At 44.5% G+C, this 24,925-nt stretch overlaps 1 protein-coding gene and 1 pseudogene across 8 annotated transcripts in view; both read left to right on the top strand.

Moving 5' to 3' along the window:
• EPB41L4B (erythrocyte membrane protein band 4.1 like 4B) overlaps positions 1 to 24,925 on the top strand; it is a 149,086-nt gene that overhangs the window by 109,464 nt on the left and 14,697 nt on the right. For 3 of the 8 annotated variants that reach the window (XM_017014815.2, XM_017014814.2, NM_019114.5), the window contains exons 18-22: positions 3,547 to 3,672; positions 7,866 to 7,933; positions 11,262 to 11,360; positions 17,199 to 17,376; positions 19,241 to 19,318. In XM_017014815.2, coding sequence (XP_016870304.1) covers positions 3,547 to 3,672; positions 7,866 to 7,933; positions 11,262 to 11,360; positions 17,199 to 17,376; positions 19,241 to 19,318 — 549 coding nt within the window. Of the gene's footprint in view, positions 1 to 3,546; positions 3,673 to 7,865; positions 7,934 to 11,261; positions 11,361 to 17,189; positions 17,377 to 19,240; positions 19,319 to 19,693; positions 19,808 to 24,925 lie in introns of all 8 variants that reach the window. The other 5 variants (XM_011518794.3, NM_001385623.1, XM_017014813.2 and 2 more) reach the window with 3 other exon arrangements.
• Positions 15,287 to 15,395, top strand: RNU6-984P (RNA, U6 small nuclear 984, pseudogene; annotated as a pseudogene).

The raw sequence follows: 24,925 nt of genomic DNA, 5'->3' as shown, positions 1-24,925 counted from the left end.
TGAGATGGCGTCTCACTCTGTCTCCCAGGCTGGAGTGCAGTGGCATGATCTCGGCTCACTGCAACCTCCACCTCCCGGGTTCAAGCAATTCCTCTGCCTCAGCCTCCCAAGTAGCTGAGATTACAGGCACGCACCACCACACCTGGCTAATTTTTATATTTTTAGTAGACATGGGATTTCACCATGTTGGTCAGGCTGGTCTTGAACTCCTGGCCTCAAGTGATCCACACTCCGCAGCCTCCCAAATGGCTGGGATTACAGGCATGAGCCACCATGCCTGGCCACACTTTAATTTGTTGTTGTTGTTGTTGTTGTTATCATCCATGAAACATTCCTTGCAACAGATCTCCCTTCTCACTTCTGATCATGACACCAAAATTGGGAGCCACTGGCTTGGATGGCTTTTAAGGTTTTTTCCAGCCTCAAGGATCAAGAATCCTCTGATTCTTCTAAGGTTTGGATAACTTTCGCTTCTTGATTGAATGGTGAGATGTCATTTTCACTGTCCAGTTCCAAAGTTTGTGCCCAAAATTAACACAAGAATTTAATTCTCATCAGATTTTAGATGTGTAAACAATTTGTATAAACAATTCAAATATACATCTGATCATTTCTTTATCCCCAAATGATATCCCCAAACAGACGGACTATTTCCAACTATAATAATATCAAAGCCTAATTGTCATTCATGTCTATGTTTTGAAATCTGTAATCCCATATTGAACAACAAAGTATCTTTCCACAATTCAAATTGACTGAACATAAAATACAAAATACAGTCACAGGAAAGGAGAAAGCACAACATTCTTGAAGCCATCCTCCAGGAAGGAATGATACGGTCTTGGAACCCAGATGCTTATCTGCCACAGAGATATCTTTTATACAAATTCATATGACGACGCACAAATTTCCCAAAATGTATATTGGCCTTCACCTGCGTCAGTTCATATAGCAGAATATTACAGGTCTTGCATTGTCCAGAATGAACAAGAACAAGCCAGCTTGAATTTTATGTCCAAAAAAGCAGTTTAGAATTAGTAAATTCAAGGGGAAAATCAGTGCTAACTTTTCGTTCTTATTTTAGCAGCATTCTATTTTTTGAAGTGGGTCTTCGGTCATTACTGCCAGTATAACTACTTCCCCTTAAGCAATTGTCAAAAGCCTCAAATGGGCTTTATAACCAATTTGACTCCTGTATGCCAGTATACCATTCTGAAAAATTAAATCTAATTTTAAAACTATCTCTTCATGCACCAGTGAAATATCCATTCAATTATCTTGATGTAACAGGATTTACAAACACAAGATAAATTATCTTAAGGGTATACTGTAAACCTCACCTTTCAAAATAAATGTTACTTATTTGCCTGAAGGAGAATGTGGAGGCCCTCAGGATAATGAATCCAGTCAAATGAGCCAGCTTTCTTCAGATTCAGCTTGATGGCTCAGGAACGATTGATAGCTCAGGATCGATCATTAGTGTTCTCACATCCAATGCTCTTTTTTTTTTGGTTATATATATTTGCTAACTAAAGAATCTAACCTGAAAGTGCCATTTATATCTGTTTTTCTCACTTGAGCACCATAACAATCCTATGAAGAAAGAAACAGATTCAGAGAATTGAAGGGGAAGCAGTACGATTGACTAGTCAGGAGCTCTGGCTTTGGAGTAACCAACATCACCATTTCTGGCTGTCAATCTTGGCTCCTCTGCTTACTTCCTGTGTGACTATGGACAAGTGACTTACCATCTATCTGCTTTGTTTTTTGTATCTATAAACTGGGGATAATGATAGTAGTTATCTTGAAATGAGATGGTTGCATGAGGGGACTTGGTGAGACATGCGTATGAAATGCATAGTCAGTGGCTAACCCATAATAAGCTCTCAGTATATGTTAGCCACTGGCACTCTTTTTCTTTTTATAAACAGCATCTTTTTTTTTTTTTTGAGACAGGGTTTTGCTCTGTTGCCCATGCTGGAGTGCAGTGGTGCAGTCTTGGCTCACTGCAACCTCCACCCCTGAGCTCAGGTGATTCTCCCGAGTAGCTGGAATTATAGGTGAGGGCCACCACGCCCTCTTAATTTTTCTATTTTTAGTAGAGATGGGGTTTCGCTGTGTTTCCCAGGCTGGTCTCCAACTCCTGGGCTCAAGTGATCCACCCGCCCCGGCCTCCCAAAGCGCTGGGATTACAAGTGTGAGCCACCGTGCCCAGCCCATGATCCTTTTTTTTTTTAATGGTCCAAGTAAGTGAAAGAGCTGAGATTCAAATCTGTCTCTGCCGTCTTGCTATTACATAAAATTGGAAAGTTCTGCTTGGTCTACCAAATGCTTCTCCATATGTTTGGAGGTCCCCCTGGGAAACTCTACCTCATTTCTTTATTAAACGATATTAGCTGGCCAGTTGCTCTATACTTCCTCTAGCTTTCATAGCACTTAGTGTGTACCAACATGCTCAGTAGGACTTCTTAATTAGTGAATAAGATTAATGTTGGAACTTGAAGAACTTGAGAGCTTTGGGACATTTGATTCTTGCTCTGGTGCATGGTGGCTGATATGTCACATTTAGTCCTAATATTACTGAACTGACCTCTAGCAATCACACGGTCCTGTCTTCCTTATTAAACACGTCTCTTCTAATAATGACTGTATATTATCATAATCTTCTTTAGTAGGTATTTATTGGACATCTACTATGTGCCGGGTACCATATTAGCATTGGGATATGAAATGACCACAATAGGCATGGTTAACAATAAGACATTATTTCCCAAAATGTAGTGTGTATACCATCAAAGGTGATTTCAGGTTGTACACATGGATGAGTACTTTTTATTTTAATAGTGATTTAAATATCATCATGTTTATTATAATAAATATAATAGTCACAAAGCCTATAATTTCAAAGATATTATTGCTTTGGACACAGTTCAAATAGGTGGTCCCAGGGTAATTCACCTTAACTGGATCACATGAATTATAGATACATGTTCAGTGAATACATGAGATATGGCAAAAATTATAAAGGTCATGCAAATTACTGAAGTACAAGACACTCTACAATAAGCTAACAAATATAAATTTCTTGTTGAAAATCACAATTTTCTGCAAGATTTGTTGTCAAACTACCAATGAATATTTTGTACCCTTCCCCTGGACCCAACAAGTCACAGAATTGAATTTTTCTATGTAAGAGATGGCAGTTATGGGGAAAATAACACTGGACTGAGGTTAGGAGACTTGAACCAGGAGATGTCCTCTTCTGCCACTGGCTCTTGCCCCATGATGCTGGAAAAGCCTTTTCTTCTCTTTAAACCTTTACCCTGGCTTCTGGTAGGTCCTCACCCTATTTCACGAGGGAATGACATGCTGTGCCTGAGAACCCTTTGCAAATAGTAAAGCACAGATAAAAATATAAGGAGTTGGTGACACCCCTGTCTATGTATGTAGGTCTGTGTTATATGCAGTTATGATTATTGGGAAAAGTTAATGCACATGGTTCTCTCTTTGTTTACAATCTGCTGTTTGTATTTTGGTTTGTCTCAGGCTGAAGAAAAGAAAGTCTCGGAGAAAACTCTTCAGACTCCACTTTTGCCTTCCCCTGTTGCGGATCATGTGAAGTGTAACATTCTGAAAGCCCAGTTGGAAAATGCTTCCCGAGTGAACATCCAGGTGCGCAGAATGCATACATTCCTTTGATTTCATGTTATAGGATTTCCTCGATGCCACAGAGAAGAAAGAGGCACCGTAGGACTGAGATGCTGTGTCAGTCAGGGTCCAGTCAGGAGATGAGAACCGGGCATGTGAACCATACCTGATATGTGAACCATGATTTTAATTTAAAAGGATTAGGTACATGAAAGGGTGAAAAGAGAACTTGAAGGCAGCAGTTCTCAAATGTTATTGTGCATAAGTCACCTGGAAAACTGGGCCCTGTCCCCAGAGATTTGGTAAATTGGGGTGGGGGCTCATGAATATTCCTCTCCTCTCCTCTCCTTTCTCTCTCTCTTTCTTTTTCTTTCTTTCTTTCTTGTCTCACTCTGTTGCAAAGGCTGGGCTGCAGTGGTGGGATCATGGCTCACTGCAGCCTCAACCTCACAGCCTCAATCAATCCTCCTGCCTCAGCCTCCCGAGTAGCTGGGACTACAGGCATGCACCATCACACCTGGCTAATTTTTGTATTTTTTTTATAGAGACAGGGTTTTCCTATCTTGGCCAGGCTGGTCTCGAACTCCTGGACTCAAGCAATCCTCGCGCCTCAGCCTCCTAAAGTACTGGGATTACAGGCATGAGCCATTGTGCCAGCCTGAATATGCATTTCTAACAAGCCCACAGGACCACATTTTGGGCCACACAACTCTAAGGTACCAGAGGTAGCAACTGCAGGCCACACTTTCCATCCCTATAGCTGAGGGAACAGAGATGCTGTCAACATTAAAATTTAGATATTTGGAGGAGAAGCCCTGTGGAGACTAAACTCAGACTTCTAAGCAGGGGCCACTGTGCCTGGCGCTGGCATTTCTGAGCTCTTAAGACATGCCTGTGGGTCCTGGACTCAGACTGAGGAGGGGACATCAGCTGGCTGGTGCTGATATGTCTGAGGTGGATACCATGCAGCTGGATCTGCCAGTGTTGGAAAACTGCAAATTGTATTCAGCTGTGACTGCAGGAGGACCTGCTGCTGCCCACAAGAAGCAGCAAGGCTGGGGTGACTCGCAGGAGCAGGAAGCAGACAAGGAGCGCCCCATGTGGACAGAACCTATCATGGAGCCACCTGGCAAAGCAGACATGAGGTTTGCAGGCCCCTGGGCCAGCTCCATAAAATAGATGTTTGAAAGGTGGACTTGGAGATAAAAGTTGCTAGTTTAATAGCTGCCATAAATTCTCCCACTTGAACTCATAACAGGTATCCCTGGTGGACCATGACTCTTTCCCTGTGACCCTAAATGCAGCCTCAGAATCACTTTCTACATGGTGGGCATTCCAAGGAGGTACCACCTGTTGATCAGAGTTGGCACTCAGGTGGAAGCCCACTTGTCATCCTTGTCCTGGAAATATTATAAAAAGCTGCAGTCCGTGATTTCATTAGAAAAATATATAACTATCTTCTTCACCCTGGGCACAGTGGCTCATGCCTGTAGCCTCAGCACATTGGAAGGCCAAGGCGGGTGGATCACTTGAGGCCAGGAGTTTGAGAGTAGCCTGGTCAACATGGCGAAACCCTGTCTCTACTAAAAATATGAAACTTAGCCAGGTGTGGTGGTGCATGCCTATAATCCTACTACTCGGGAGGCTGAGGCAGGAGAATTGTTTGAACCCAGGAGGCAGAGGCTACAGTGAGCAGAGATTGCTCCACTGCACTGTAGCCTGGGCAACACAGCGAGACTCCGTCTCACAAAAAATAAACAAATAAATAATTAAATAAAGTAAAAAATAAGAAATAAATTTTAAAAACTATCTCCTTCATTCCTTATAAACCTAATGTATATGCTTATGTTGCCAAGGGTAAAGTAAATACTCAGTAATCTCTTCTATTATTATTTCCATTTATATATGTAGCAATCTGAATAATTTAGGTCCTTCCAGAACATACCATGAAAGTCAAGAGAAAGCTTACAAAATGTCTTTTATTTGGGGGTTGTGATATAAACAGGAGGCAGTAAGATGTAGAACACAAGTTTCAAAGTCAGATGGTCTGGCTTTGAACCTTGATCTGTGATTGATCAGGAATGTCACCTTAAGCTTGTTTGTCAACCTCTCTGAGCCTTAGTTCTCTCCTATGAAAATGGAGATAACAACATCTGTCAGGTTATTGTGAAGATTACATGAGATTATCTATGCAGAGTACCTGGTGCAATGCCTTGCTCCACCACTGCAGAGGTATTGACAACAGTGGTCACAGTTGTGGCGTGATGAAATTGCTGGGGGCACTGATTGCTTACAGATAACAGTAGTAGCCCTTTTTAGAGGATGGTCAGGTTTATTTCCCATCACAAACTCAGGAATGTCAAGGTTATAGTCACAAATTCTTTATTTTCAGTCTACCTTCATTGATTTCAGGTATGCCATTTTTATACTATCACAGAACAAACAAAACTGACACATATTTTGCAATTTACAAAGCTGTAATTATCTACATTAGAAAGTTGTAACATGTTCCCAATAACCCCATGCTGCAGGTATTATCTGTGGAGGACCCATATTTCTGCTCCATTGGAGAAGTGCAGTATCTTGAAAATATTCTATTTTGTAAAGTATAGGGAAGAGATGACAAATAGGTAAGAACACATTTCCTAGCCAAAAGGACACAGTGGAAGGGCATGAAAGCAGGAAAAAAGCAGGGGAGTGTGAAGTCAGTAATTTGACATTAGCGTTTCCCAAGATGTTATAAGGAACACAAGCCCCACAGGATTCTCCCTGATAATTCTGGAAATGCTGCACATGAAATCCCATGGGACAGTCCCAGTACACATCAGCTTCTTATAGTCTCTGAAAAGTCCTGCAGGAAAGAAGCCTGTTTTACTTTCTTTCACACCTAACTGGCCATAAGTAGCTCCTACTGTTATCTGTAGAACTGAAATTCATAGGAACACAGAAGCATGCTTTGGGAATCCATGGTTTAGAGGGTTTTGAGGGGTTGTGATGGAGGGAGAGGAGGTTGATGCACAGCCAAGTATACTGCTAGGGGTTTAAATGTTAATCCCCTATTGGCATCAGTGCATAGTGAGAGTATAAGGAAAGGAAGCAGAAGTCAAACAGACCAATGGTACTATCTGTTGCTAACTCTAAAAAAGGCTTTGGCTGGGTGTGGTGGCTCATGCCTGTAATCCCAGAATTTTGGGAGGCCAAGGTGGGCAGATCGCTTGAGCCCAGGAGTTCAAGACCAGCCTGGGCAACATGGCAAAACCTCGTCTCTACAAAAAAAATATGAAACAAATTAGCTGCGTGTTGTGGTTTGAGCCTGTAGTCCCAGCTAATCTGGAGGTTGAGGCAGGAGGATTGATTGAGCCCAGGAAGTCAAGGCCGCAGTGAGCCATGATCGTGCTGCTGCACTCCAGCCTGGGCAACAGAACAGACCCTCTCTCAAGAAATAAAGAAATCAAAAACAAAAATTAAAAAGGCTTTGATTAGGATGTAAGACTGGATCTATATGTGGGCAATCTTGACAGGCTAATAATGCCATGTCCTCCAAGCCAGCAGGCTTGAAATCTTTGCTCAATATGTATTTAGAACAGAGGCCAAGCTCTGTATGTTGTGATGGTCGTGAGGGCTGCAGGCCTCTGCATGTTCTATTGACCACTAGTGTGTGGTCAGCTGGCCTGGCTGGCTGAGTGGGTGTCTCTTCTTCCCCCACTATTCTTTGTGGGACTCATCAGAGGGAGGAGGACAAGGTTTCTCTCAAAATCATATGACGTGATTCCTGCCAGGCTGTTATGGTTGTTATGCTGATGTGAAAGGACAGATTCCAAATTCCTTTGTAAACTGTAAGTGCTATGTGAACATAGAGCTGATTATTATTCCTGACCCAAACTGTGAGGTGAAGGATTAAACTGCGGGTTTGGCTTTTCCCACACTATCCCTTTCTAATTCAAGCATGAGCTGGCACGTAGCAGGTGTTCAATAAAAGCATGAATGCAAGAATTGATTGCATCTGAATGATTGTCTTAATCCTATTACTCAAGAAAACATTTTTTGTTAACATATATAAACACCAGTGCAAGATTCTCTATTGATTGAGTACTTGGTGAACTACCTCTTTGGTCCACTTGCCAATTTCTATAATCTTTTGAATGTAAGAGACTTGAAAACATTTTTTGCATGCCAACATATTCAGTTTTGACTAACCTGAATGCTTTCTTTAACAGGGTGGAAAGGAGGAATCACCGTTTGTAAATATCAATAAGAAATCCAGTCTTCAGGACGCTAGTGTAAGGTCTGTTGCTCCTTGTCTGAATGGGGAAATGATATTCTCTGTATCATCAACATTATCCTTGAAACATTGCTCACGAGGGCATTAGCTGATAAAATCAGAGGACAAATAAAACAGAGAATAGGAGCCCAAAGAGATGGAAAAAGACTGGCTTAACTAACTTTCCGCAAGCCTCAAAAATGTTGCTTATTCTCAGTTTTAATATCTCTGCCTGCTGCATTAACAAAGAAATCAATCACTTGGGGTTGTCACTCAAGCAAGTGGGCTTCACATTGCCATCCCCCTGCTTAAAGCCCTTTAAAGGCTCTGTTTACACTCAGAATGGAATCCCAACTCCTTAACAGAGTGCAGGAGGCCAGGCCCTTCAAGACCTGGCCTCTGCTCACAACTCCAGCTTGGACTTGGGCCAGCTTCCCTTGGCCCATTGATGTGCCCTGCCTGCTGAGCTTCTTGTTAGTGCTGGAGCCACATATGTTCCTTTTAAAAATGTATTTATTTAATTATTATTTTTTAAGACAGAGTCTTCCTCTGTTGCCCAGGCTGGAGTGCAGTGGTGCGATCTCGGCTCACTGCAACATCTGCCTCCCAGATTCAAGCAATTCTTGTGCCTCAGCCTCCTGAGTAACTGGGATTACAGGTGCACGCCACTGTGCCAGCTAATTTTTGTAATTGTAGTAGAGACAGGGCTTCACTATGTTGGCCAGGCTGGTCTTGAACTCCTGACTTAAGTGATCCACCCACCCCGGCCTCCCAAAGTGCTGAGATTACAGGTGTGAGCCACCACACCTAGCCTACTTTTTCTTTGTATAAATTTATGGGGTACAAGTGTAACTTGGATCTGTGCATAGATTGCACGGTAGTGAAGTCAGGGCTTTTAGAATATCCATCACTCAAATAATGTACATTGTGCCCATTAAGTAATTTCTCATCATCCACTCTCCTCCCATCCCCTACACATGTTCTTTAAAGCTTCCAGGCCACCACCACCCCAAACCCAGAGGAAGTCCTTCCTCCCCTGATCTCACAGAGAACAGGAACTCTTTCCTTCTTGGCATGGTGGTGGTGGCCTCATTGCCACCTGGTGGTTTACTAACACCAGCAGGGTCTCCTTAGGGTAGTTTCCCAAAATGGGTCCAAGGACCACTGCATCAGAGTCTCTTCTTAAAAACACAAACTCCTGGGTCCTACTCCAGACCTTTTGGATCCTTTGTGTGAATGTGTGTGGTGGGTGTTTGGTGGGTGCCAGTAGAGACAAGAATCATCATGTTAGCGGGCACCTAGGTGATCTAGAACCACTGCTCTGGGGAACTATTATACTCGATGCCAAAAATCAAAGCTAACATTTCTCTGTATCACCTTATGATTCCCAATCTGTGTGCTTGGTATAAATTTGTCTTACTCCTGAGATACATACCCAGCTGCCTCCAGGGCTTTTCAAAAACTTAATTCATCTCTTCCCACTCCACCCCACTAACCTTCACCTGGATTCCATTCTTAGTCAATGGTATTATTACCTACCCCTCACCCAGGCCTGAAACCTGGGAGTCCTTGCTTTTCTCCTACCTTATTCCCTCATCTAATTGGTCACCAAGTCCTGGCAATTTGACTTTCATTTTACCTTCCACATCCATCCTCTTTTCCTCTTGTCTATACCTTGAGCCCTCATTGTCTTCCGGGCCTACTGCTGCCCACAGTCCTCTAAGATGCTTCTGTCCTCCCTTTCACCTGGTCCTCTTCATTGTTCTAAGGACCTTTCTGTAATGTAAATCTGACTATGCCACTCCTTTGCCTAAAACCTTTAGAGAGTTGAGGTCCATTGCCTTCAGTGTAGACTCCTCAGCCTGAGGCCCCATATGACCCGGCCTCGACTTTCCCTCCAGTTAAAACCCTCTGCTCTTCCACTGAGACCTCACCGGATGGTAGTTCTAGTGCCCTGCGTTCAGCCAGGTCTCCACTCTGCCTCTCATCTTTGTGGTCTTCGCTCCATCTGGAAAGAGGAAACTCCTCCACGTAGCTTTCCCCGATGCTGACCGTTCCACCCAAGCAAATTCATGTGCTCCCTCAATAGACTATACGTTCTTCAGGGACCATGTTCCCTTTACTGTGGAGTCGCAGCTTGAGGAAACCATGAGTATAGAATGCATTGACTCAAATCCTCTATTTTCTCATTCATGTGTTTATTCAACATACTTTTTTTTTCTTTTTTTTTTTTTTTTGAGACAGGGTCTCACTCCAGCACCCAGGCTGCAGTGGAGTAGCATAATCATTGCTCATTGCAGCCTCGACCTCCTGGGCTCAGGTGATCCTCCCACCTCAGCCTCTTGAGTAGCTGGGACTACAAACATGCGCCACCATACCTGGCTAATTTTGTATTTTTTTGTAGAAACGGGTATTATCATGTTGCCCAGGCTGGTCTCAAACTCCTGACCTCAAGTCATCTGCCCACCTCAGCCTCCTAAAGTGCTGGGATTACAGGCGTGAGCCACTGCACCCGGCCTCAACATGCATTTGTTAGGCCCCGGCCACATACTTATCACCATATTGAGCACTGACCCAAAAGTGTCAGTTGACTTGCCAGGTGTCCCTTTCAAGGACCTCAACTTGTTTTGATGCCTTGTTGGTCCTAGGAGGTAATGAACTGATTTTTTAAAAATGAAATTAGTCATGACCACTACAAAAATGCATTAAAAATTTTCCTTAAAATTACTATTTTGAGTAGGGTCCATTGGTTACCTGAAATAAATTCTTGAGTAAAGATAAAAGTGACGCTTAATTTTTAGCATTTTCACACATACATGGAATTAAAATGTGTTACAGCAAGTCCTAAAGGTCTTCTGATTATGCATTTTTCACACAAAGTATAGTATGGTTCTTATCTTTTTTTAAAAAAAAAATATAGTCTGTGCTATGTTTAAAATAGAATAGCTACCAGATTACTTGGAATTAAAAACAGGTTATCCATAGGTTTCTCTTCATTTTACTGGCAAAACCTGGTTATGAGCCAAACCCTCATTCTGGTTCACCCCTCATATTGGGGGGCAGGGGTGGCTGTTACGGAGCAGAGAAATTTTATTTTGTACCTCAATTATGTTTAGTTGCCCCATTTGCTATATTTTCTTCCCTATGATTTTTTTCTTACTGTTTGGATTTTCTATGGTTTTAAAATATAATTATAATTATGAACTAAGTACGGTAGAAAGGCAAAAAAAATGGATTTCTTGACTATCAATGTTATTAAGGTGTACATTAACTGAGAAAGCAGTCCCTATGGCTAAAACGAGACCATAAACCTTTTTTGATGGTATTGTTCTGTTTTTCGGTGTGTCTCTAGAAGTCCTATTCCTATTCGTGTGGAAACTGCCCAGCCAGCTGTGGAAAAGCCGGAAATCAAGCCTCCCCGAGTGAGGAAGTTAACAAGACAGTATAGTTTGTGAGTTCTGTACTGCAACTTTTTCAATTAAAACAACTATGATGACTAATTGTTTAGATACAAATGCTTCTTAGCCCTTCTGACTAGTCCCAGGGAGCAGCCCCCAAATTCCATTTATTTCCAATTTAGGTAATAATGAGACTAGCCCTTTCTCCCTGAAAACCTTACATAGTTAGCATAAGGATTCATTATTGACTACTGTGTAATAAATTACTCCCAAACTTAGTGTCTTAGAACAATCCACCTTTATCACCTCACAGTTCCTGTGGAGTGGGGGTCGGGGCATGGCTTAGCTGGGTCTTCTGTATCCGGGGCTCTTACAAGGCTGCATTCAAGGTGTCAGGGCTGCGGTCTCATCTGCAGGCTTGTTTTTACGGTTGCTGACAGGGATCAGGTCCTCAAGGACTCTTGGACAGAGGATGCCCTCAGCCTGTAGTCACATAGGTCTCTCCAGCCTTCTCCATCAGAGAAAGCACATAAGAAGAGCCAGAGAGAGTGACAGCAAGGCAAAGGCACAGTCTTTTGTAACCTACGCACAGAACTGACATCCCATCACTTTTTTTCTTTTTGAGACAAAGTCTTGCTCTGTCGCTCAGGCTGGAGTGCAGTGGTGTGATCTTGGCTCACTGCAATCCGCCTCCCAGGTTCAAGCAATTCCCCTGCCTCAGCCTCCCAAGTAGTTGGGATTACAGGTATAAGCCAATAAGCCTGGCTGATTTTTGTATTTTTGGTAGAGACGGGGTTTCACCATGTTGGCCAGGCTGGTCTAGAACTCCTGACCTCAAGTAATCTGCCTGCCTCGACCTCCCAAAGTGCTGGGACTGCAGGTGTGAGCCACCGCACCTGGCCCCCATCACTTTTGCCATATTCTGTTCATGAGAAGCAAATCCCTATGTCCAGCCCACACTCAAGGGGAGAGATTACACAGGGGCATGAATACTAGGACGGGGATCATTGCAACCCACATCAGAAGCTGCTTTCCACGGCATATCCATGAAAAGGCAGCCCCGTCTGTCAACAGAACCAAAGCTAATCACTGAGCTTTGACACCTGTAGGAGGAGCCATTTCCCAAAATGTCCCAGAATCACCAGGGCACATGTGCACCTGACTGTTCTAGGCATCGTTAGGGAATAGTAAAGTGACTTTGACAATTCCCATCCAAAGACTCACACTTTACTGGAGGGAAAGACAAGAGTCACAAATAATTATAATCCAAAGCAGAAAGATAATTGCTGTAATCAGGGTGGTGAGTACTAGTAATAGTTGTAGTACTGATCACAATGGTATTTCCCTTTTTTTTTTTTTTTTTGAGACAGAGCCTTGCTCTGTCACTCTGTCACTCTGTCACCCAGGCTGGAGTGCAGTGGCACAATCTTAGCTCACTGCAATCTCCACCTCCCGGATTCAAGCAATTCTCCTGTCTCAGCCTCCCAAGTAGTTGGGATTACAGGTGCCCGCCACCACACCCAGCTAATTTTTTTGTATTTTTAGTAGAGACAGGGTTTCACCATGTTGGCCAGGCTGGTTTCGAACTCCTGACCTCAAGTGATCCACCCCACCTTGGCCTCCCAAAGTGCTAGGATTACAGGCATGAGCCACCGTGCCCGGCTTGTAGTTCCCATTTCTTGACCTTAGCTATGGCATGGGTACTGTGCCCAGATGTGTCATTGGTCAGAGAGTAACTGCAGGGGGATCTCTGGACGAATGAAAAGGATGGGGGCTTTGGAGTTGGAAAGGCTTCTGTCAGGCCCCTGGCTAGTTTACAGCTGTAAGCTCTTGGAAAAGTGACTGTTTGATCCTCTCTTCCTTCCTCTGTAAAATGGATGAGATAATACCTGCCTCTGAGGAGTTTTGTGGGGCTTAACATGAGAGAATGTGGGTAAAGCCCCAATACCCTGGCCATAGGATGAGGTCCCCTTTCTTTCTTCTCTAGGACCTGGAAGCTTCTGAGGAAAGATGGAGTTTAGGGGGTACCCAGAGTGCAAAATGTAGGACAGGACACGGGATTCTGGATGCAATTCTCTAACAGCCATCTCAGGTCTGCCATTTGTACCTGTGAAAAGGAAAAGAGGCATGTATGGGGGATATTAAGGGAGATATATCCCACCTCATATCCTTCATAGAAACTTCTGGTCAGCTGCATTTCCTAGGAAAGCCAAAACGAGTAAAGTTCAAATAATTAACAGTCCTAATGATCTCTGGGGGACAATTAAGCCATGACAGTTTGCTTCCCTCGAGGATAAGACTGGCAGAACTTGCCATTCCTTTTACATTTTGAAACTCAAAATGTTACTATCACTCATTTGAGAGATGTAATCATGTTTGAAACAATGACTGGCTGATATATAACCTGGAAGGAAAGGAAATTTCACTAACTCACCAAACTCACTCTTTTTTTTGTTTTTTTTTTTTTTTGATACAGAGTCTCACTCTGTCGCCCAGGCTGGAGTGCAGTGGCACAATCTCGGCTCACTGCAACCTTCGCCTCCTGGGTTCAAGCGATTCTCCGGCCTCAGCCTCCCAAGTAGCTGGGACTACAGGCACATGACACCATGCCCGGCTAATCAAACTGGCTCTTTTAAGGACACTCTTTTTCAAACCTTGAACTTTACATGTGTATTTCTTAAGCTGCCCCAAAGTATTCTGCTTTGAAAATCAAACAATAGCAGCATTTTCCCCATTAGTAGAAAATAGCAACATCCATGGATGAGATTTTCCCAGTGTTATTGTCCCATAAAGAGTTCTCGAATCCTTGACGCTGGCTACCGCTCATTTGCCCATCTTTTTATTATTATTATTATTTTATTTTTTTGAGGTGGAGTCTCACTCTGTCACCCAGGCTGGAGTGCAATGGCTCAGTCTTAGCTCACTGCAGCCTCCGCCCCCTAGGTTCAAGTGATTCTCCTGCCTCAGCCTGCCGAGTAGCTGGGATTACAGGCGTGTGCCACCACGCCCAGCTAATTTTTGTGTTTTTAGTAGAGACAGGGTTTCCCCATGTTGGCCAGGTTGGTCTCGAACTCCTGACCTCAGGTGATCCGCCCGCTTCAGCCTCCCAAAGTGCTGGGATTACAGGCATGAGCCACCACACCTGGCCTTTGCCCATCTCTTTAACTCTTTGATATTGATAAAGTTGGCACGTGATCAAGGAATATAAATGGGAAAACTCAGATCTCTGATTTTCTGGAAAATATTTTTTACATCATCATTTTTGAGATACAGATTTGTGTGCACACATCGCCCTTTTGGCTGTTGTAATATTTCTAGTTCCTAGGCTGGAATAAGGTGTAGTCAGATTTTAGGTTGCTCCACCAAAAGCATTGTAACATTCAGGTGCTGTGAACAAGTCTTCAAACCACTGCTTTTAAAGATACAGACAAAAATCTCAGCCACATTATTTCCTGGAAATATGACAAGGAGGGAAAATGTGGCTGCTACATGCAGTGAGAATGGAGAAGTAGAGGGTCTCTACAGAGAGTTTAAGGCAGGCGAAAAGGTCTTTTTTTTTTTTTTTTTTTTCGGAGACAAGGCCTCACTCTGTTGCCCAAGCTGGAGTGCAGTGGTCGATCACAGCCCACTGCAGCCTCAGGTGATTCAGCTCAGGTGATCCTCCCACCTCAGCCTTCTGAGAAGCTGAGACTACAGGTGTGTGCCACCACATCTGGCTAATTTTTGTATTTTTTGTAGAGACAAGACCAGACCATGTTGCCCAGGCTGGTCTCGGACTCCTGTGCTCAAGCAATCGCCTGCCTTGGCCCCCCAGAGTGCCGGGATTACAGGCATTAGCCTCTGTGCCCAGCCAAAAGTGTCATTTTTTATTGATACCAGCTAGTATGTTTAGAAAATCATGAGCTATTTTATTTTTTTCCAGAAATATAACTTCACTGTTTATTTAAACATAGTGTAAAAGTCTAAAAAAAATTCAATAGTGCTCACTTTGGCATCACATATACTAAAATTGGACTCATACAGAGAAGATTAGCATGGTCCCCCTGCGCAAGGTGGACATGCAAATTTGTGAAGCGTTTCATATTTTAAATTTTTAATTAAATAATAAAATATTTATAAGTTAATTAAAATATTTAAAGAAAAGAAAAAAAAGTAAATAGGCAAGACAGAAGAGAAAAGTAGCCAATTTCCCAGAATCAAAAATAACCAGGGTTCATAGTTGACGACTGTTACATTAGACAAGTTTCTATGCTTATATATTGTTAAAATAGAAACAACTTCAAAGCAAAAAATCATTCTGTATGTAAAATTTTACTTATGAAACTGTTGTTTTATGACTTTATCATGAATTTACCTTAGAAACAGGTAAAATTGGAAGACTTGCTGAATTTTAGATATGCTTCTTGGCCATAAGATCTAAACTAAGACAAAAGATAAAAACCATGATGAATTTGGAGTCTTTTTCAATTTTAGGCAGTGTCAGTTGACTCCCTTCTGTGAAAAATGAGCTATGGTTTTTAAATGGCCTTTTATATAAAACTAAATAATAATAACTATGCTATTGAGGTGATAATTTTTTAAATGAGGTAAAAAGAAATTTTAACCCCGCTCCTCCACTTAACTAGCTTTGCGAACTTGAACAAATAATTTCACAATCAGCTGCTAAATATCATCTGATTCTCTGAAAAATGGAGATGGTAATAGGGTCGGTGTGAAAATTAAGTGGGTGAATGAACGTGTAACCCATCTGACCTATGTCATCTATGTGGATCCAAATACTTGGTGTATTATTAATTTTTCCATGTACTTATTCAATTCTCACCTTTCCCCCTTTTTAGTAATGAGCCCTAAGTCCTTCCCTTGAGGCTTCTCCATACACAGAATAATCTAAAACCTCTCAGGGACCCCTCAGTCAATCCCATCCGCACTGCAGCTTTGTCTCACGGCCTCATGTTCCCACGTGGCCCCGTGCTGGGCTGAGGCCTTACCAGTGATCTGCACAGGCTGCACTGGTGCCTACCTGTCATGGGTCTTGTATCTACACTCTTGAGCTCAGCCATCATTCTAAATCACAACCCCTATGCAAGGGTGGCTCCAGAAGCTCTACATGGCAGATCCTTAGGGACAATGTGCCTGGAGTCCCCAGCACCACCCTTAAAGCAGAGAGTCAGACAGATGTTTGTACACCCATGTTCATGGCAGCATGATTTATAATAGCCAAAAGAGTGGGAACAAGCCAAGTGTCCATCAACAGATGAATGGATAAACAGAATGTGGTATATCCATATAATGGAATTTTTATATTATAAAAATAAATGAAATTTTGATGTATGCTACAATGTGGATGGACCTTAAAAATATTATGGTGACTAAAATAAGCCAGACACAGAGGAACATAGAGTGTGTGATTCCACTTATGTGACGTTCCTAGAATAGGCAAATTCATTGGGACAGAAAGTGGAATTGATGTTACCAGAGGCTGCAGGGAGGGGCTTGGGGAGTTATCGTTCAATATCAATACAGAGTTTCTGTTGTCACTGATGAAAAAGTTTTGGGGACAGATAGTGGCAATGGTTGCACAATATTGTGAATGCATTTAATGCCACTGAATTGTATATTTATAAGCAGTTAAAATGATAAATATTATATTGTATATATTTTACCAACAAAACAAAACAACACCCTGGCAAATGACAGAAAATTCACCCCAATTTGTTTTGGCAAAAAAGTCAGAGTATTGGATCCTGCAAGCTGGACATCTGGTGGACATCTGTTTGGGAACCCCCAATCCCCATCCCTGGTCTTCCCACCCCTGCCCATCCTCCGTCCACTCCTCACAGCCTGTTTATTATTGTAATGAGCAGAGCTTCATGTGCTTTTAGTAACCGCAGTGATGAAGACGACCTCCCTCCAGACCTGGCCGAGGCAGTGGGAGTGACCACATCTACAACCACAAACACCACAACGGCCGCCACACAAGTCTCCGTGCCGCTGCCGTCCCCCAAGGTCCAGAATGTCAGCTCGCCTCACAAGTCAGAAGGCAAAGGCCTGCTGTCCCCTGGGGCCAAGGTATTGGGGGGTGGAAAGCCCTGGCGAGCAGCCACACTTGCTGGGAATTCAGTATCAATTTACTGAGTAGCATCTGGTGCATGTATTTAAATTTTGCATAATCAATTGTGTATACTCATAAAACAACAGCAACAACCAGAACATGTTTTTATATAACTTGACCCCAAAATACAAGCCAACCATTTGTGAGACAATGAGTGAAATATAAAATCAGGTTCATTGTACTTTAATTGCAATGTAAGAGATTTTTGAGGGCAGTTTTCATTTAGAATCTCATCTCTATAATAAGCTATTAGTCCACTGTAAAGATAGAAAGAGAGAAATGATTCCCCCCCAACCATAGTGAACAGTTTGGAGGAGCAAAAACATAGAAGTGTCCCCATCCCTTCCCTTATGTCATATAGCCGGTGTTAGTAGTTTGAAAATAGGAAATATTATTCCATTTGCTGGTTTGAAATTTCAGGAAATTGCCTGAGATGTGAATGGGCTATGACAAAGGCTTTACACAAGATGTTTCTCTTGGTTTTCTTTGAGAGACCTCTAGCTACGATTACTCTTTGGCAATTGGTCCAAATACAATTGAACCTATTGCTGTCCAAGTGGATTCAAGTCAGAGGTTGCAGTGGTTCATGTGACTACACAGAGAAAAGGTGCGTGCAGGAGGCAGGTGCCCTGAAGGCAAGACCGGAGCTTCAGAGGCTGTTCCCAGCTCTTCCATTCATAAGCCACAGCACTCACTTCCAAAACCTTTATTTCTTCGAGCCTCAATTTCTTCCTCTTAAAAATGGGAATAAGATCTGCTATCTTGCCCTGGCTGGCGTCAGGTTCAGTGGAGGTTAAAGTGCTCATGCAAACTGGATGCCTGAGGCTTTTGCAGCTTCAGGGATCACAATTCCTGGTGACAGCTGAAGAATAATGGTCCAGGGCCACCTCCTGCATTACCAAGGCCAGTCTTTCACCTGGTGCCTTCCCTGGGTGTCTCTGGAAATATCTCTGCTTAGTGTTCTGCACAGAAACCTGCCTGGAGTGCTCAGCCAGCGACTGGCCAAGATCGAGGTTCTCTGCTTCTCTATAGATCACCTCCACCTATTGGCATCTCAGCCTGGATTATCCTCCACTGTGTGGAGCCCCCTGTACAACTTTGTCTCAGGTGTGGACCCAGGCTCCTATCACATATCCCACACTGTGGTTAAAACCAGGCTGAACGAAACATTTACGAAACAGAAGGGGGTTGGGGTGGCGTGGAGGGGATGCAAGTGGCATCCCACCAAAGGCCACAGGGCTCCCTCTCCTGGCCATCTCTCTCCTTGGGGCCTTGCTTGAACCACGTTGATGGGACTTCTTTTTTCTCCCTTAAAAGACCTCGAGGCCATCCATGCAGCTAAGACCCCAGAGCAGGAGGGCAAAACATTTTCCAAAAGCAAGCAACATAATCCACATGCCATCACCTGCCATGAAGATCATTGCTCTTAGTGTGCAGATCAGTTTAGCTCCTGGAGGACCCTGGATTTGATCCTCTTAATCTAGGACAAGGTCTTTGCTCTCTCTTTATACATTCAGAGGACTCTTTCAAGTGTTTTTTCCCCAAAAGACCAGTAGAAAAGCACTAAGAGCACTTAAGAAAAGCGGCCCGCAGCTCTGAAAGGGACAGCTCTCTGCACCATGCCTACTTCTACCTATGAAAAAATTGGGGTTCAAGTCTCAACATTTTGTACACTACTTGGTGAGGGAAATACAAGGGGATTGTCATTGCTAATGAGATCAGTGTAGAGGAGAGGCTGGGAACCTCTGCCTGTCTTTTCTGGTGAACTTTATCATCAATGCAGTGCCGTCTCTAACCAGGGGTGTTTGTCTGTCTCCCTAGAGCCCCTCTGACCGAGGAGGTGCCTTTACCCTGGAGCCGGGTGATCTTCTGATGGATTTCACAGAAGCCACTCCTCTGGTAAACTTCCTATTTTGCTAAAACCAGAAAAGTCACAGACCATAGAAACATCTTGGCAGTGGGACGGATGGACAGAGGTGGGCATTGCTGTTGAGGAGCCTCTTCCTCTTGTCCTGGAGGCTCAGGGATCAGCTTTCATCCAGGGGTCAGGCACTGTGGGTCCCTCCACCTCTAGAGCCCTTGAGGGAGGAAGGGGTGCTCCTTTGCTCCGAGGGTAGTTGTGGGGGTCCTGCCCATGCCTGTCTACTGCACTTCGAGTGTTATAGGGCTCCTCGGTGTTTTGTTCTCGGCTTCTTGGCTTCCTGGACTGCGCCCTGCATGCCCACCCGTGGGGAATCTCTTGCTGTTGCTTCCGACGATCCATCTGGTCTGAAGCACTGGCTCAAGGCCACACCCCAGCTTTCCAGGCCCCTCGCACCTCCTGCCATCTTCCATCCTCTGCATACAGGTCTCCCCTTAGGGATGGCAGCCCTTGTGGGACTCCTGCAGGTGAGAAACCCTTTTCAGGGAACAAGTAAAGGGCCTGGTGGGTCTGAGAATTAGGGTCAATTTCCAAAAAAAAAACATGGTGGCTTTGACAAGAGTGATGAGATTCCCTTAGAGATCATTGTGTTGCAGGTCCAGCTTGTAGATTTAATTACTTATAGATTTAAATGGTCTTTTCTTTGTTTGAACTGAACAGGCTGAGATGAGAAAGGAAGCAGCATCTGGTAGGGAATTGGAGATGCCGTGATCTGAGGGGCAATGCCTGCCAAATGACTGTCCAGCCTCTGCTTGCACCCCTTCAGTAATAGGAAGCTCATTCTCTCTCCCCAAGACACGCTGCTCACATCTCAGGGTATCTCCAACTAAGCTATGAAATGGGTATGGGCCTGTTTCACTGCTCAGGCATGGGACAACTGAGGTCCTTGCACTGCACTGAGACACAGCCACCACTTCACAGCTGAAGTTTGCAGTGAATGTGTGTCCTCAGGATAAAGCATCCTTTGAGGCATGAGTGCATGTATGCAGGCCTCAGGGAGAAGGTATCCTGGGCATCTAGCTTTTTGGCAAGAGCTTCCTCCATTTTGGGCTTTCCTTGGTACCATGGGCCTTGACCTCACTTTGTTCCAGAATCCTATTTCCATGAGCGCCAAAGGGTCCTAGAAGGGAAGAGGGGACTCCAGCCATCTGCTTCTCCCTTTGGTCCTCCTCCCTCCATCTGCTTCCCCCAGCATCAGAAATGCAAGCAGCAGCCCTCCTACCTGTTGGTAGGGTGATGGACAGGTCTCTATCTCAGGGGACCAGGCCTGCCTCCGCAAGTCAGTGTCCTGGATGCTGCTGATGAGGGCTGCAGAGGGGCTTCCTTATCCATGGGAGGAAGGAGCCAGAAGTAGAGGGAGGCAAGGGTGACCCCCGTGCCTGACTTGTGACCAGGGCTTCCTCAACTAACTGGCCCCAGCCTATCAGGTGGAACAATGCCTTGGGACCATCTCATCCAGTCCTTCACATATAGATGGGAAAACCAAGGCCCAGACAGGGGCAGACACTTGTCCCAAGTCACATAGCAAGTGTGTATCAAAGCCAGTTCTAGAACCTAGACTCTGGGCTGCCATTCCAGTGGCAGATGGCCCAATCCAGGATGTGTCTGTGTCTTTCCCTGTTAGCCAGTACCCTCCCTCAAAGCGGGTCAGATGCCCTGGTCTCAGTCTGGGCTGTGGGACAGCCCTGGGACCATCTCCAAGCTGTCAGCCCAGGTTTGGTCCTCAGAGTTGCTGAGTGGAGCATGAGGAAGGGAAGTGCTCAGGTACCTTGGTCTAGGAGACTCAGCCTGGATGAGCTATGGTTATTTTGCCACCAGCCCTGTGCCCTTTGCCTGTGGCTGCTCTCTCTGGGCCTTCCCATCAGCATTTCCTGCTGAAGAGGAAGCAGCCCTTTACGGGCATGAATGTCAGAACTTCCCATGTGCTACTCATCACACAGGCAGTGAATTACCCCTCCTTGGTGAATACTTTTTCCATGTAGTCATTTCCCAAGCTTACAGCCTATCTCTAGCCCCCTGCCTCCTACTGGATGAGACTCCTGAGGCCCCACCACTATCCTGGTCCCTAGGCCCAGTGCTGGACCAACAGGGAACTGGAGATCTTGCCTTCATTCAGCAACGTTCCACCAAGACACTATCAGAACCAGCGTAACCTAGCCGAGCGTGGTAGTATGTGCCTGTAATCCCAGCTACACAGAAGGCTAAGGCAAGAGAATCATTTGAACCCAGGAGGCGGAGGTTGCAGTGAGCCAGGGTCACGCCACTGCATTCCAGCCTGGGCAACAAAGCGAGAGTCCATCTCAAAAGAAAAGAAAAGAAAAGAAAAAGCTGGGCATGGTGGTATTATTCCTGTAATCCCAGCACTCTGGAAGGCCAAGGCGGGTGGATCACCTGAGGTCAGGAGTTCAAGACCAGCCTGGCCAACATGGTGAAACCCCATCTCTGCTAATAATACAAAAATTAGCTGGGCATGGTGGCACACATCTGTAGTCCCAGCTACTTGGGAGGCTGAGGCAGGAGAATCGCTTGACCCCCAGAGGCAGAGGTTGCAGTGAGCCGAGATCGCGCCATTGCATTCCAGCCTGGGCAACAAGAGTGAAACTCCGTCTCCAAAAAAAATAAATAAATAAAAAGAAAAAGAACTAGCATAAGCCTTTCACTTTTATCACTCTTGATACTTGTGGCCGGTCTCTGTGTAGAGTGGTTTTCAAAGAAGCACAGTCCAAAGAGCCCAGATTAATAAAAAGTTTCAATCTGGAACAGGCATCTCTCAAAAAATCATTAAAGAATATTACATTAACACCTCCTGTAACACATCTTGATCTCTTTTTGCCTTTTCTTTTATTCTCTTACATTCCTGCTTGACTCCAGGGACTTTCATTCCCAAACTCTCCACAAAGAAACACTCTTTCCAACTTCGCTTTTGTAGGTTTCTTCCCCCTCCTTTTCCCAAACCTTTTCCTCTCTAATCCCCAACTCTTTTATTAGGTAGCTCAATTTAGCAATCTTAAGCTTTAGAACTTTTGCAGCTTCACGTCTTTCCATTTCCGATTCTGTATCAGAGTTCGTAATCAGATCTGAATTTCTGCCTGGGTTGCAAGAGGTGGAATACGTGGGTGAGAAGGGAAGGAGGCAAGTGAGTCAAGACAGCACCTGCTCTCCAGTTGGTATTTTCTTTAGGATGTGAATGTGAGCAGGTGCTTGGGGGCATTGGCGTTGACTGAGCGAGGGGAGTTGGGGGAGGGTACATTGATGCATTAGTGATGTTCACCCTAGAATGCGGAGTCCTGCACGCTACTCCAAGTCTACCGTGCTAGCTTCCCTCCCCAGGTAACACAGACCATGAATACCTGTGCTTTCTGTGTTCTTTACGCTTTCTCTTTGGGGCTCGTCCCTCTCTGATCCCCATGCTTCATGAACCACTTACCCAACTGCAAAGCAGAGCCAATTAACACCCAGATCCCTTCTGGGCCATGACATGTTAGTCAAAAGTTCATGTGTCTGGAAGGACAGGGCCCTGGCCAGAGGAAGGCTGTGTAGGGCATTGGAACAGGCCCTGGGTTAGGTGTTAGAAGGGAGTTTCCATCTGGTGCAATAACTTACTTTTATTTTGAACTTAATTATACCAGCAGGGCTGAAGCTGAATCTCAAATTAAATTAGGGTACCCCTTCTGTGATTTTGGCTGTGTTCCCTAGGGCACAGGGAGGTGGAGAGAAATCTATTTAGTCCATGATGTCATCTGTTCACTGATACATCTAGGCCTCTCTTTGGTTCTTTCGTGGCTGTTTTGGGTGGGTGGAGATCACTCTCCTGCCAGGATGTGTGACTCTCTACCTGTTGGACAACATTCTGTTTGGAGGCCACCCTGTCCTGGGGCCTGCCATCTCCTCAGCTCTACCTGAGGGGGTTGGCAGGGCTGGTTCTTGCTGCTCTTCAGTCCCTGCTTCCCAGCCTCAGTGTCTGGAGAAAGTTGCACAGGGCCCCTTTGCTCGGTACTCACTAAAGTCTACTCCTCCTCCCTTTCCCTCTGACTTTTCTCTCCAATGGTCAAACTAGCCATCTCTTTTCCTATCTGGATGATGAAGAAGCCTTACACATTTTCATCATCATGTATCTATGCAGAGAATCTTTCTGTTTCCCCGAGAGTCAGATTTTGAACTCAAAAGCCAAGCATGTACAGATGAATGTAGCTGCTTGCCTGCAGAAAAGACCCAAGGAAGAAAGGAAATACTAGGAGAAAAAAATTAAGTGGTATTCCAAAATAGCCTTTGATTCCATGTGTTATCTTATTTCCTTCTCACGTAACAACAGTCTGGAGCGTGGGAGCCCCAGGATGTTCTTTTGTTTCAATCCAATCAGATGTATATTGAGAAAGGTCAGAAAGGCTTGTGCGGTGGATCAACACTTCTTTACCACGAAAGTCAAATGCTGGACCATCCCTTAAGGCGCTCATTATGTTCTTCAGTTGGTGGCCAGGACACATTTTGGCTTCTAGGCAGTGTGGCCATGTTTCTTGGTCATTTGTGCCAGCTTTTATTTTCTTCAAAAAATACCCATTGCGTGCCTGCTATCATCAGAGAAGAAAAGACCCAGTGGCCTGGGTCCCCTGTTGTAGTTGTTTCTGGTTGGAGTATGGATGCCCTGGGGCAGTAGTGGGAACTGTTCCTGAGGGTAGCAGGGAGACATATTTCTGCAGGATATACCCTGAGGTCCATAGAGAGCAGCAGGAGGGTTTTAAGTAGTCTGGTAAAAGTTAACTGCAGGTGACTCAGATGGATTCACTTGACTAAAAACTAGATTTAGAAACAGTCAACAAAATGAACCATGGACTAAGACTTTGCAAATGCAATTTCTACATCTCCCAAATTTGAATAGTAAAACAGGCCATCGTGAAGACCATTGTGAGATAATAGTTGTAAAAAGCCCTTTGGAAATTGTCCAGGACTGCACAATTGTAAAGAGGACAGAGATAGATCACTTTGGAGACGGAAAAGAGGCTGGCAATTTTCTTGATCATTTTTCTATGAAACTTACCCAGGGGCTGTGTTTTATTCTTCACAGCAGGATGATATCAACTATTTAAGGAAACTCTCTTGAGATAAAAGACGTGTATATTTGTTCTCTGGAGCAAATGGTCCCTCCCTGAAACCCAAAATAACCCTGTCCGTGGTTCCCTCTCCTAACATCAAGCATCCTCTGTCCTCCAACCTCATCCTCACCAGTACAAGCTGTTGGACCTCTGCTGGGCGCATGGTGCTATTCAAGGATAAGGTGGAGAACCCTGCGTATCCCAAAGGATGTGGCACTTTTTTCACAATGTTTGGTATTTTCCAGCTAAGTAGCAGGGTGTCCCAGTGTCAAACGAGATGCCACGGCTGGGCCCATGCATCTCGTCATGGGTCAGGGTCAGTTTGTTTTCTGAACACAGATAACAAAGAGCCAAGACATATGAAATCCTCAACTATATGTTACAGCTGGGCACAATGGATCATGCCTGTAATCCCAGTACTTTGGGAGGCCGAGGAGGTGGGGAATCTCTTGAGGCTGGGAGTTCAAGACCAGCCTGGGCAACATAGTGGGACCT

This window comes from Homo sapiens, chromosome 9, assembly GCF_000001405.40.
Source record: "Homo sapiens chromosome 9, GRCh38.p14 Primary Assembly".
NCBI classification, from domain to species: Eukaryota; Metazoa; Chordata; class Mammalia; order Primates; family Hominidae; genus Homo; species Homo sapiens.
The sequence above is the reverse complement of the archived record's forward strand: the minus strand, read 5'-3'. Positions and strand labels throughout refer to the sequence as shown.